The following is a 14,179-nucleotide window of genomic DNA, read 5'->3' as shown; positions in this document are numbered from 1 at the left end:
CCGCTTCCGGCGGGCTAAAGTTGAGGGTGCCTGTCAAGTCTCGCGATAACTAAGGCTCTCCGTGTGGATCGCTTTGCAACAGATCGCTTCTTCAAATGCTGGCACAACGCCCAGAGCTCGATGAGGTGTGGGCAAGTAGCTGTCTAAAGGTGGATGATGCCCTCCATGCACTTTCAGCCTGCCTGGTGGCTGGGCAGTCGAAAACGTCGCCGTCTATTAAGCTCCTTTGATTGGGAGCAGGTGACGGGTAGAGACGGAAGTTCTGGGAATCACCGGAGAAGGGAGGGAAGGGCTCCTTCCGGCCGCCTGCTCCCGGAGTCTTCGTGGGGAACGTGAGGTGAGAGCAGGCGGTGAAGAGTAGACACGACTGATGACTTCAGGGATGCTACACCTTTCTCTCCTGCCTGGGCAAGCCTCGGTAGTAAGATTTCCGTAGTCCGTTTTGTATGTGGTTTTGCAGAAACATACCCCCTCTCTGCTCCAGCTTCAGTCGTCAGTATCCAGCTACTTCCAAGAGTCTTGCCCATGTCTTGTGGGATGTTCAGCAAATGTATAAACACTTAATATCCCGACAAAGCTTGGCCTCTTCCCTCCCAAATTACTTCCCAGGCTATGCACCCGTTTTTGTTAATACAACCAACTTGGAAACTTTGATGTCAGATTTGATGCCCTTTCTTGCCTTTCCATGCTCCAATCACTTGCCAAGTCCTGTCGATTGTACCCCTACAGTAATTCTTGCATCTTCTTACCCACTGCCCCCACCTAATCAACGTTCTCATTACCATCCCCTGCACGGTGTCAGTGCAGTACCTTTCTCATTGATGTCCTGCCTCTAGCATCACTCTGCTACTAGCCTATCTTACATATACCTGCTATAGGTGTAGCCATCTTCAAGCACCACCGTGATCCAAAATAGCTGATCCAATGGCTCTCTGTTGCCTGTAGATTAAAGGTCAAGTTTATTAACTTGGATTCAAAACTTTTTTTATTTTCTGCTGTTCCCCTTCCATTCTCCCTCAGTCAGTGGTAAACCAGACCCTGTGAAGTACGTCATGCATAAATTATTACATTTTTATAGATTGCTCATGTCCCTTGCATGAAATACCTGTCTCTCCCCCTCATCTCCAAATGTTGAAATTCTTTCCATTATTTAAAGCTTTAGAAAGTGACATCTCTACCTAGAAATAATTTTTCTTTCTATTGAGAGTCCATCATATTTCTGGAATTTCATGTATTTAGTTATTACCACTTTCTAACTTCGAACTAAAATTATTTACTTGCAAGTCTTTCCCCCTATTAAACTGTAAACAGGCCTTTATCTAATGCATTTCTACATTCTGGAGTGTATAACATTGTGCTTTTTTTGTTTGTTTGTTTGTTTGTTTCTTTGACACAGGGTCTCATTCTGTTGCCCAGGCTGGAGTGCAGTGACGTGGTCATGGCATACTGCAGCCTCGACTTCCTGGGCTCAGGCGATCCTCTCAGCTCAGCCTCCGGAGAGCTGGGACTACAGGTGCACACCACCACCCTGCTAATTTTTTGTATTTTTTGTAGAGATGGAATTTTGCAGTATTGCCCAGTCTGGTCTCGAACTCTGGGCTCAAGCAGTCCACCCACCTCAGCCTCCCAAAGGGCTGGGATTACAGGCCTGAGCCGTGGAGCCCAGCCCCACATTGTGCTTTTTCCATGACGTTAGCACTGAATAAATGTTTGTGGAATGAATGATAGAACTATGAATATTCCAAGTAATGTTTTAGAAACATTAACCTAGCAAAAGTATATAGGATAGTATGGATGAGGGAATAGGATAGTCTTGGTGTTGGGTAGTAAAGGTAAGAGGTGTAACAACCAAGGTTACAATAATTGAATAAAAGGCCGGGTGCGGTGGCTCACGCCTGTAATCCCAGCACTTTGGGAGGTCGAGGCGGGTGGATCATGAGGTCAGGAGATCAAGACCATCCTGGCTAACACGGTGAAACCCTGTCTCTACTAAGTATACATAAAATTAGCTGGGCGTGGTGGCCGGCGCCTGTAGTCCTAGCTACTCGGGAGGCTGAGGCAGGAGAATGGCGTGAACCCAGGAGGCGGAGCTTGCAGTGAGCAGAGATTGCGCCACTGCACTCCAGCCTGGGTGACAGAGCAAGACTCCGTCTCAAAAAAAAAAAAAAATAATAATAATAATTGAATAGTACTATTCTGGAGCTCCAGTAGTGCAATTGGTTAGCGCGCTATAGTGCGCTAAATAGTAAATAGTACTATACTTAGTTACTGAGTGGATTACGAGAGAAAAAGATTGGTAGAAATCAGGGAAGGAGCTGGGTGCGGTGGCTTACTCCTGTAATCCCTGCACTTTGAGAGGCCGAGGCAGGCGGATCACTTGAGGTCAGGAGTTCAAGACCAGCCTGACCAACATGGTGAAATCCTGTCTCTACTAAAAAATCAAAAAAATTAGCCGGGCGTGGTCAGGGGCGCCTGTAATCCCAGCTACTCGGGAAGCTGAGGCAGGGAGGATTGCTTGAACTTGGGAGGCAGAGGTTGCAGTGAGCCGAGATTGCACCACTGCCCTCCAGCCTGGGCGACAGAGTGAGACTCCATCTAAAAAAAAAAAGAAAGAAAAGAAAGAAATCAGGAAAGGCTCCAATTCTTTAAGCCTGGGAAATTGGGGCTGAAAAGGAATATCCATAAGGTAAAGTGGCTTTAAGGGAAAAATGAACTCAGAGCCCAAATACATTTGTAAAATTTGAAACACTGGTGAAATATTCAAGAGAAAATTTCCAGGGAGTTGTTAGAAATACAAGACTAAATCTCAGGAAAGAGAGGCTCTACCCAGATATGTAAATGTGTGAGTAATTCATGAAGAAACAATAGTTGAAATCACTGGTGTACAGTTGCTCCCCGACAGGACTGTTTGACTTAACGATTGTTGTACTTTACAATGGTACCATGTGCATTCAGTGGCAGGGTACTTTGAATACCTATACAAACATTCTGTTTTTCACTTTCCGTACAGTAGTCAATAAATTATATGAGATATTCAACATTTTATTATAAAATAAGCTTTGTGTTAAATGAGCTTGCCCAACTATAGGCTAATGTAAGTGTTCTGAGCATGTTTAAGGTAGGCTAAGCTAAGCTATGATGTTTGGTAGATTAGGTGTACTAACTGCATTTTTGACTTAATGATGTTTTCAACTTGTGATGGGTTTATCTGGACATAACCCCGTCAAAAATCAAGGAGCAGCTGTATATGATCTTTTCAACAGGGAAAGTATTCATAGAGAAGAGAAGGCGACCAAGGCCTATCCCTCAGGAAATACCCATATTTAGGAGACAAGAACAGGAAATAGAAAACTTGAAGAGGGGCAGTGTGACAATTGAAAAACTAAGAAAAATGCTTCCTCACCTAGTATCGGGAATCAAGAAGGATATTTGGAAAAGGGGCTTCTTGTAGGCTAGTTTGGTTGTTTCCTTGTGACTATTATTGACATTATTTGTAAGTATTGAGGACTTACCCAGAAAAGAATATAGAGATTGGGCATCCCTAATCCCCAAATACAAAATACAAAATGTCCCCAAATCCAAAACTTTTTGAGTGCCAACATGACACTCAAAGGAAATGCTCATTGGAGCATTTTGGATTTCAGATTTTCATAGTAGGGATACTCAACTGGTATTTTCTTTCCTGTAAATTTGTGTGTGACACTTAGGGGCCTCTAGGCCTCTGAGAGTTTCTGTGAAGAACTCTAGGTATTCCAGCAGATTTTCAAATTTTCAAATGAAATTTTTTTCTGCCCACCAATGTCTTTTCATTCTCTGATATGTTATCGATTATTATGTCTCATTTTCTGACAACAGGAAATCTGTTTCATGAAGGGGAATTTTCTAGATAACTGACACTTAGACTTTAAGCATCAGAAATTTTTTATTGAAACCATTTTTGATGGAAATGTTTGCAAAATGTGGCTCTTACCTATCTGGTATAACCAGAATATATGGGCCATAATTTAATCTTTGCTGGCAACTAAAAGTCCCTGTTAAAGCATCAGTTATATTCTTCTGGATAGTAATATCCTTGGGCCTGTTGATGTGCATGAGAAAGGTTACATCATGAAATTTATAGTGTTTTTTTCTACTCATTGTAGACATTTTGTTTTACTTAAGCAGATATATTTTTTAAATTGTGGTAAAATATATGTAACATAAAAATTACCATTTTAACCATTTGTAAGTGCACAGGTCATTGACAGTAAGTACATTCACATTGTTGTGCAACTATCACCGCCATCCATCTCGAGATTTTTTCATCTTCTCACACTGAAATTCTGTGCCCATTAAACCATAACTGTATTTTCCTCTCCCCTCTGCCCCTAGCAACCACCATTCTACTTTATCTTTATGAATTTGACTACTCTAGGTACCTCATGCAAGTGAAATACATTATATGCTGTTTTGTGACTGGCTTTACTTAGCATAAGGTCTTCAAGGTTCATCCACATTGTAGCATGTGTCAGAATTTCCTTCCCTTTTAATGAATAATATTGCATTGTATGTTTACACCATATTTTGTTATCCATTCATCTATTAATGGACACTTGAGTTTCTTCCTCCTTTTGGCTATTGTGAATAATGCATCTGTGATTATAGATACACAAATATCTATTCAAGTCCCTGCTTTCTATTCTTTTGGGTGCATACCCAGAAGTGGAATTGCTGGATCATATGATAATTTTATTATTAATTTTCTGAGGAACCACTGTAGTGTTTTCCATAATGGCTGTGCCATTTTACATTCCCAATAGCAGTGCACAATTACTCATAACTTTAAACCTTAGTTTGACCCAATGATCTACAGGCAAAACACACCAGCAGAAAGTCCTGGGGAATGCTGGCATCAAAAGAGCTCTGCTTTCAGAGGCCATTCGTGATCTTGGACAATAACCACTTTAAAGACTAAAGCTGAGGGTCAAGAGGTTATGCAGTTTATCCAGGGGCACAGCTGATAAATGAGCCTGTCAAATGGGACAGGAAGAGGGAGATATTGGGCAGCTTGCAGTTCCCTGTGTCTTTGGCCAGTGCATCCTCTGCTCTTGCAAGTTGTGCCTGCAATTATTCCTTCTCTCTTCTCTGTTTTCAACTCTCCGTCTTTACTGGCTGCTTCCACCCCCACACTTGCTCAAATTTCTTCAGTCTCAAAACAAAACTGATACCCTGCCCTCAATCCTGTATCCTCTTCAGACTATCTCGGATCTCCTTTCCCCCCGACATGCGTATTTTACAAAGAATACTCCACATCTGCAGTTTATACTTCTCTATCTTTTCTGTTCAATTCAGTCAAGTTTCTGCCCTTGAGTACTCCACTGAAACCACTCTAATAAAACCACCCTGGCAAAGTTCACTAGGGAAAAGTTGTCCCAGGGCCAAATTCAAGACTCTAAAATTGTCGGCATATTTCATATCTGTGCAGTATTTGATGCTTTTATCTCCTTCCTCCTTTAAACCTTCTCACTTTGTTTCCAAGTTTCTCATGATTGTCCACTTCCCTGGGTCACTGTTTTCTTATTGTTCTGTATTATTTTATGTGATGGTCAGTCAGGGGTGGCCACAAAAGGAGATACAGGAGAGGCTCCGAAAAACAAAGTTCATTACACTCACAGGTCCTGGAGATAGGAAGCACAACACGCCACGCAGAGCCACATGGGAAAGACACCAGGGTGGTCAGAGGCAGAACACAGGAGCAAGGGGAAAGCGTTAGGCCGGAGCCTTTATTGGAGTTTCATTAGGAAAGAAAAGGCAGGTCAGGGTAAACATTTTAGGATTGGCTAGTTTGAATAATTTCAGAGGGCTCTGAACTATAGGGATGGTCCCTAGTTGCCTGGTACCTGGCCCTGGGGTGACTGAGACAGGAATATTGTCTTGTGGGGTGTATGGACCATATAGAGGGGGTATGGCTCTTGATTGGTTGGTTTGTGTATCACAGGCATGCTCTTGGCTGGGCCCTTTTTTAAGACATCAAAACATCATAATATATAACTCTTAGTGGTATATAACAAAAAAACATGATGTACAGAAATTTAAATATATATATGTGTATATATATAAACATGCATACATATATATAATACACTTCTCTATCTCTGTCTCTTTGGCTGATTCCCTCTTCCTCTGCCTGCCACTTAAAAGTTGGTATCCCCATAACCTTGCCTATACTCTCCTTGTGTTGCCTATGCAGACTATCACTTTTGTGGCTTCAGCTTCCATTTCTGTTCTGATGACTCAATGGATATCTCCAGCCATCCATCACATATGAGCTCTAGACTCATAAATACTCCTGCTTGTGAGAAATTTCCATCTGGATGTCCAACAGGCATCTGCAACATGTGTCTAAATGGGAATTCATCTTTCTTCCTGAACCTGTTTATCTACCTCTCTTTCCATTTTCAGAGAATGCTTCCTCGCAGTTTCCCTTGCCAGAAACCTAGCAGCCATCCTGGACTCTTCCATCTCTCTTACTCCAGATACTCAGTGTCTCCCTAAGTCCTGTGAACTTCAGCTTCTGACTGAACTTTCTCTTCTGTTTGTTCACTCCTCTTCATTCCTTCATGTCACCCTCTTAGTTACAGCCCTCATCATTTTTCACACAAACCAAGGTGACAGTCTCTAACTGGTCAGTCCCTGTATCTAGCCTTGCTCCCCTCCAGACCCTTCTCCACTCTGCTAGTAGAGCATCCTTTATCATTGTGAAACATACAGAAAATAATTGATAATAATATAATTAATTGTATATCTATCGGCTAGCTCAGAGTAGCTTGATTATATCTAGGCCTGGATCCATTTACCTTTCAGTGATTCCTAATTTCTTCTAGGATACAATCCAAGCTCCTTAGTTTGGAATGTGCAGCTGATCGAGATTCAACTCTGTCTTATCGGTCCAGTCTCATCTCTTGCCACTCTCCCTGTATTAGTCTGTTCTTATGCTGCTTTATTAATAAAGATATACCCAAGACTAGGTAATTTATAAAGGGAAGAGGTTTAATTGACTCACAGTGCAGCACGGCTGGGGAGGCCTCAGGAAACTTACAATTATGGCAGAAAGGGAAGCAAACACGTCCTTCTTTATATGGTGGCAGGAGAGAGAAAAGTGAGAACCAAGTAAAGGGGGAAGCCCCTTATAAAACTGTCAGATCGTGGCCAGGTGCAGTGGCTTACGCCTGTAATCCCAGCACTTTGGGAGGCCAAGGCGGGTGGATCACGAGGTCAAGAGATCGAGACCATTCTGGCCAACACGGTGAAACCCGGTCTCTACTAAAAATACAAAAATTAGCTGGGTGTGGTGGCACACACCTGTAGTCCCAGCTACTCAGGAGGCTGAGGCAGGAGAATCGCTTGAACCCAGGAGGCAGAGGTTGCAGTGAGCTGAGATTGTGCCACTGAACTTCAGTCTGGCGACAGAGTGAGACTCCCTCTCAAAAAAATAAAAAACTGTCAGATCTCATGAGAACTTACCCACTATCACAAGAATAGCATGGGGGAAACTACCCCCATGATTCATTTACCTCCCTCCCACAACACACGGGGTTTGTTGGAACTGCGAAATGAGATTTGGGTGGTGGCACAGCCAAACCATATCACTGCCTAAATGAACTAAATGCATACCCATATCAAACTGTTTAAAGTTATTGGAAGACTTCGTACTATGTTGTACACATGCTGTCCCTTCTGTTTGCAGTGCCCTCCCCACTCTGGTCTACCTGGTAAACAGCCTTTTCAGGTGAGCTTCCATAATCATCCCACTATTGTCCCCACCTCCAAGTAGAACGGATTATTCTTTATGTCTTTCATATACCTAGTCATGCATTTATCACAGGAAGTGAATTCCTGTGAGGAATTGTAATTTGTTTACATCCACCTAAATTATAAACTCCTTGAGGGTAAGGCCATGTCTTTCACATCTTTAGCAATGAGCATTGAGTCTGGCAATCTGATACATAGTTGGTGCTCGGTTAATATTTATTGATCTTGCCCCTGCCTTCCTCTCCAGGTTTGTTTGTTTATTTCAATATGGGGTCTCCCTCTGTTGCCCAGGCTGGAGTGCAGAGGCACGATCTCGACTCGCCATAACCTCTGCCTCCCGGGTTCAAGCGATTTTCCTGCCTCAGCCTCCAGAGTAGCTGAGACTACAGGTGCCTGCTTCCATGCCCAGCTAATTTTTGTATTTTTAGTAGAGACGGGGTTTCACCATGTTTGCCAGGCTGGTCTTGAAATCCTGACCTCAAGTCAGGATCCACCTGCTTCAGCCTCGCAAAGTGCTGGGATTATAGGTGTGATCCACCGTGCCCGGCCTTCCAGTTTTATTTTTGACTAATTTTTTCCCACTTCCTCTCCCCTCAGTCAACATTCAACCATATATAAAGACTCAGCCCACCTCTTGTACATAACACATTTGTTTCCTGGACTCCCTTTTATCAGATAACCATTCACATTACCTTATTGAATCTGTTTTGATGTTCCTCTTTCCTGCTAGAGTGTAAGTGCTAAGAGTCCAGGGGCCATGTGTGATGTCTCTTCATCTCCAGCACCTAGCACTGAGGCTGACACACATCAGGCAGTGAAGAGATGTTTATTAACATAAGAGTGAAGGACTTAGACTTTCCAATTTCTAAGGTCTCCTCCAGCTCTAAAACTGATTTGAGGCTCTGAAAATTGTGACGTAATCTAAAAGTTTTCTCTGAGCAGATGGTCACAACAGTTGAAGCACCAATTTAAGCAGTTGGCAAATATGAAGGTAAACATTTAAGAAAGTTAATCAGAATGAAGGTGAATCCTTCAACAAGACTGGAAAATTAACAAAACTGTATATCCAAGTAGTCCCAGGCACCCCGTTTGCACCCATGGTGGGTTCCATATGTTCCCTCAGATAACACATGTGCCTTGGGAGCTTCTCAGAAAGGTGTTTAACAACCTCCCTATGACTAAACCACCATTGGCTAGAAATGAGCTGCAAGCATTTATTTCTCTGCAGCAAAAATTACTTTTTTTTTCAGCATTTTGCTATAATTTGCTTGATTTTTGTTAATGCAAAGTAAGATCATTTATGTAATATTTGTGTTCAGGTATAATCCTAATCTAAAGATTCTTAGGATTTTTTTTCACCCCACAAACATTGCTATACAATATATTTCTGGGCTTAGTGTTGGAGGAGTGAGGAGAGTTAAAAAAAAATGTGGAACACAGCTGGGCACGGTAGCTCACGCCTGTAATCCCAGCACTTTGGGAGGCCGAGGGGGGCAGATCACCTGAGGTCAGGAGCTTGAGACCAGCCTGGGCAACATGGTGAAACCCCGTCTCTACTAAAAGTACAAAATCAGCCAGGCATGGTGGCGCATGCCTGTAATCCCAGCTACTTGGGAGGCTGAGGCAGAATTGCTTGAACCCTGGAGGCAGAGGTTGCAGTAAGCCAAGATCACGCCATTGTACTCCAGCCTGGGCAACAAGAGCAAAACTCTGTCTCAAAAAAAAAAAAAAAAAACCACACACAAATCTTAAGATCTAATCGTACTAATTGTAGAGTCAACCAGAAGATAGTTATGATGGTAATATATGCAGTATATAAAATAGTGTGGCCTCATGCCTGTAATCCTAGCACTTTGGGAAGCCGAGGCGGGTGGATCACCTGAGGTCAGGAGTTCGAGACCAGCCTGGCCAACAATGGCAAAACCCTGTGTCTACCAAAAATACAAAAATTAGCTGGGTGTGGTGGTGGGTGACTGTAATCCCAACTACTTGGGAGGCTAAGGCAGGAGCATCGCTTGAACCCGGGGTGCGGAGGTTGCAATGAGCTGAGATTGCACCACTGCACTCCAGCCTGGGCGACAGAGCGGACTCCGTCTCAAAAATAAATAAATAAATAAATAAATAAATAGTGCATGATAATCTAATGGGATGCAGGGAGAGATAATTGCAACTAGATATATAAGTATAGAGGTACTTCAGGGTAAAGGAAGAATAAGAGGAAAGTGAAATTAACCCTGAGAAATTTACTGAAGAAGGTGATTCTGCAACAAGCATATACACGGAGTGCGTGCACACACACACTATGTGGATTGCCAGAAGTGAGCTCCTGTGAGGAATATGGATTCTTGGGTGCAGAGGATGCAGACTGACCATTCTTTTTAAATTTATTTTATTTAAAATTTTTTTAATTTTAATTTATATGGGTTCATGGTGTATATATTTATGGGACACAGGAGATGCTTTGATACCGGCACACAATGCGAAATAAGAACATCATGGAGAATGGGGTATCTATCCCCTCAAGCATTTATCCTTTGTGTTACAAACAATCCAATTACACTCTTAGTTATTTTCAAATGTATGATTAAGTTATTATTTACTGTAGTCACTCTGTTGTGCTATCAAATAGTAGGTCTTACTCATTCTATTTTTGTTGTACTATTTAACTATCCCCACCTTCCTACCATGCCACTACCCTTCTTAGCCTCTGGTAATCATCCTTCTACTCTTTATCTCCATGAGTTCAATTGTTGTGATTTTTAGATCCTACAAGTAAGTGAGAACATGCAATGTTTGTCTTTCTGTGCCTGGCTTATTTCACTTAATGTAATGACCTCCTGTTCCATCTATGGTGTTGCAAATGACAGGACCTCATTCTTTTTTTACGGCTGAATAGTACTCCATTGTGTATATGTACCACACTTTGTTTATCCAATTGTCTGTTGATAGACACTTAGATTGCTTCCAAATTTTAGCTATTGTGAACCGTGCTGCAGCAAACATGAGAGTGTAGATATCTCTGATATGCTGATTTCCTTTCTTTTGGGTATATACCTAGCAGTGGGATTGCTGGATCATATGGTAGCTCTGTTTTTAGTTTTTTGAGGAACCTCCAAAATGTTCTCTATAGTGGTTGTACTAATTTACCTTCCCACCAACAATGTATGAGGCTTCCCTTTTCTCCACATCCTCACCAGCATTTATTGCCTGTCTTTTGGATATAAACCATTTTAACTGGGGTGAGATGATACCTCATTGTAGTTCTGATCTGCATTTCTCTGGTGATCAGTGATGTTGAGCACCTTTTCATATGCCTGTTTGCCATTTGTGTGTCTTTTTTTTCTTTTTGAGACAGTCTCTCTGTTGCCCAGGCTGGAGTGCAGTGGTGCAATCTTGGCTCACTGCAATCTCTGCCACCTGGGTTCACGTGATTCTCCTGCCTCAGCCTCCCGAGTAGCTGGGATTACAGGCGCCCACCACCACGCCCAGCTAATTTTTGTATGTTTAGTAGAGACAGGGTTTCACCATGTTGGCCAGGCTGGTGTCGAACTCCTGACCTCAGGCGATCCACCTGCCTCGGCCTCCCGAAGTGCTGGGATTACTGGTATGAGCCACCACGCCTGGCCTGTATGTCTTCTTTTAAGAAATGTCGGCTAGGCACAGTGGCTCACAGTGGGTCCTAATTCTCTTGTAGAATACTCTTCAGAGACAGACTCCAAGACTGCTGCATTTCCCTGTGGGGTGACTCACAGAGCTCTTTACTAGTCTTCTCTCCCAAGTGCCCCCAGGGAGCCCCTGTGCAATATCATCCCAGTCATATTTGGAATATGAACTGTGACCCTTACCTAGGGAAATATGTCTCTCTCCTCAGATTAGAGCATATTCATTCTAATTAGACATTGTCGTGTATTGACTCTGTTTTCACCATGGTAGGTAGAAGTCTGCCCCTCCCATAGGTGAGTGGAGAACCTTTGCTCTATGGAGACCTTTAGTATTTTTTTTTTTTTTTGAGATAGAGTTTTGCTCTTGTTGCCCAGGCGGGAGTGCAATGGCGCGATCTCGGCTCACTGCAACCTCCACCTCCCGGGTTCAAGCTGTTCTCCTGCCTCAGCCTCCCGAGTGGCTGGGACTACAGACACGTGCCACCACGGCTGGCTAATTTTGTATTTTTAGTAGAGATGGGTTTTCTCCATGTTGGTCATGCTGGTCTCGAACTCCTGACCTCAGGTGATCCACCCGCCTCTGCCTCCCAAAGTGCTGGGATTACAGGTGTGAGCTACCACGGCTGGCTGATCTTTAGTATTTTTAAGTGGGAAGGACATTGGCTTAATTTTTTCACCCAGGCTGGAGTGCAGTGGCACGATCTCTGTGCACTGCAACCTCTGCATCCTGGGTTCAAGTGACCCTCGTGCCTCAGACTCCTGGGCTCAAGTGATTCTCCTGCCTCAGCCTCCCGAGTAGCTGGGATTACAGGTGTGCACCACCATGCCTGGCTAATTTTTGTATTTTTAGTAGAGACAGTGTTTCAGCATGTTGACCACGCTGGTCTTGAACTTCTGGCCTCATGTGATCCGCCCACCTCAGCCTCCCAAAGTGCTGGAATTACAGGCATGAGCCACCATGCCTGGCCAGACATTGGCTTTAGATGGATGCAGATGACCTGAGTGACTTTGCTGAGATTCTTCTCTGAGCCTCAGTTTCCTGATTCCAAAATGAGATTATAATGATTTTATGAACTATGATGTGTTTTCTATAGCCTAGATGATAAGCATTAACAAACAGTTGCACTGTTTTCCAAACCAAAATAAAACACTCTAACTTGGCTTGAGAAGGGAGAGGTTCTAATACAAACATTTTGTCATTGTCCTATGAAAACAACCATGTTAAAATATGAAGACTACTAGCGCTACCATTATGTAGTAAATACCGAGCATTTACTACATGCCAGGCACTGGGCAGAGCTTTATATTTATATTTACTCATTCTCACAACAACCTACCTGGCTACATATTATCCCTCTCTTACAATCCAGGCTTACAGATGACGGGCAGTTATGATAAGCAAGCAGGAGAAATGAGATTTAAAGCCAGTTCTTTTTTCAAAGCCTGTGCCCTGCCCATGGAAGGGATAACTCAGGAACCTACAGAAAAACATATTTGAGGCATATTTCTGAGACATAGGAGCTGGATGGCAGGGTGGTCAAGATTGCTCTGTGGTGAGAGACTAGAATGCAGATGTTTTGTGGTTTTGATTGAAGCAAGGTCTGTTTGCTTTCATATTAGACACTGCTGTAGCCAGAAGTTGGAGCCTGTCAGGGTTCAAGAGACAACCTGGACACAGTTTATAGTTCCTTTTACTTTGACTTATTCCTGAAGCTGGAGTAGAGCAGTGCAAGATATAAATGAGACAAGGAGGCAGGGAGGCTCCCTGTTGCCTGCCTCTTTTGTACCTCATGGAGGTATACTCCGAATTTAATGATTCTTGAGAACTCACAGAGAGTAAGATGTCCACCAGATCCAAAGCATGTAGAACTGTGGGCTCACTGCTTAGCACCCAGATACAACTTTTACCTCCATATAAAGCATTTTGTTACTCAGAAGGCCACGTCACCTGCGGTTATTATCCATATCTGAGGCTTTGAAATTCCTGCTGTGCCAGCACTTGAGGCAATCTCCATTTTCTTGTACCTCTACTGCAGTGCCTAAGAATTTTCTTTCTTTCTTTTTTTTTTAAGGCAGAGTTTTGCTCTCGTTGCCTAGGCTGGAGTGCAGTGGCGCCATCTCAGCTCACTGCAACCTCCACCTGGGAGGCCCAGGTGGGCAGATCACCTGAGGTCAGGAGTTGGAGACCAGCCTGACCAACATGGACAAACCACATCTCTACTAAAAATACAAAATATTAGCCAGGTGTGGTGGCACATGCCTGTAATCCAGCTACTCAGGAGGCTGAGGCAGGAGAAGAATTTTCTATTTATTTCCACTCGGGTGCTTTCCATGGCCGACGTGGCCATGGCCTGCAACAGACACACCAGCATAAAGTTGCATTCTATTGTAAAACTTTAAGAACATAATTTGTATTCTTAGCCAGAAGGGCACCCCACCTTCAGGTAGAGGTGCAGGAGTTCTTGGATGGTTAAGGCCAAAATTTTCTTCAAAAAAGAAGCTCTGATAGAGACATAAAGCAGATTTGTGATTGCCTGGGTTAGGGTAGGATAGGGATTGACTACAAATGAGCATTAAGGATCTTTTTGGGCTAATGGAAACATTCTGAAACTACATAGGGGTGATGGCTGCACACTCCATAAATGTGCTACAAATCATGAATTGTACACTTACAATGGGTGAATTTTATGGTAGGTAAATTATACCTAAGAGCAAAAGAAGGAAGG

The 14,179-nt window shown here is 43.1% G+C and overlaps 1 protein-coding gene across 4 annotated transcripts in view; it reads left to right on the top strand.

The window, feature by feature from the left end:
* Positions 48-14,179, top strand: part of HOMER2 (homer scaffold protein 2) — a 151,497-nt gene continuing 137,365 nt past the window's right edge. For 2 of the 4 annotated variants that reach the window (XM_005272449.5, XM_006720776.5), the window contains exon 1: positions 48-125. In XM_005272449.5, the coding sequence (XP_005272506.1) occupies positions 121-125 (5 nt within the window). In that variant the 5' untranslated portion in view covers positions 48-120. Of the gene's footprint in view, positions 419-14,179 lie in introns of all 4 variants that reach the window. The other 2 variants (XM_047433360.1, XM_047433361.1) reach the window with 2 other exon arrangements.

Source organism: Homo sapiens, chromosome 15 (assembly GCF_000001405.40).
Source record: "Homo sapiens chromosome 15, GRCh38.p14 Primary Assembly".
NCBI lineage: Eukaryota > Metazoa > Chordata > Mammalia > Primates > Hominidae > Homo > Homo sapiens.
Note: the sequence above shows the minus strand (reverse complement) of the source record. Positions and strands in the feature narration are given on the sequence as shown.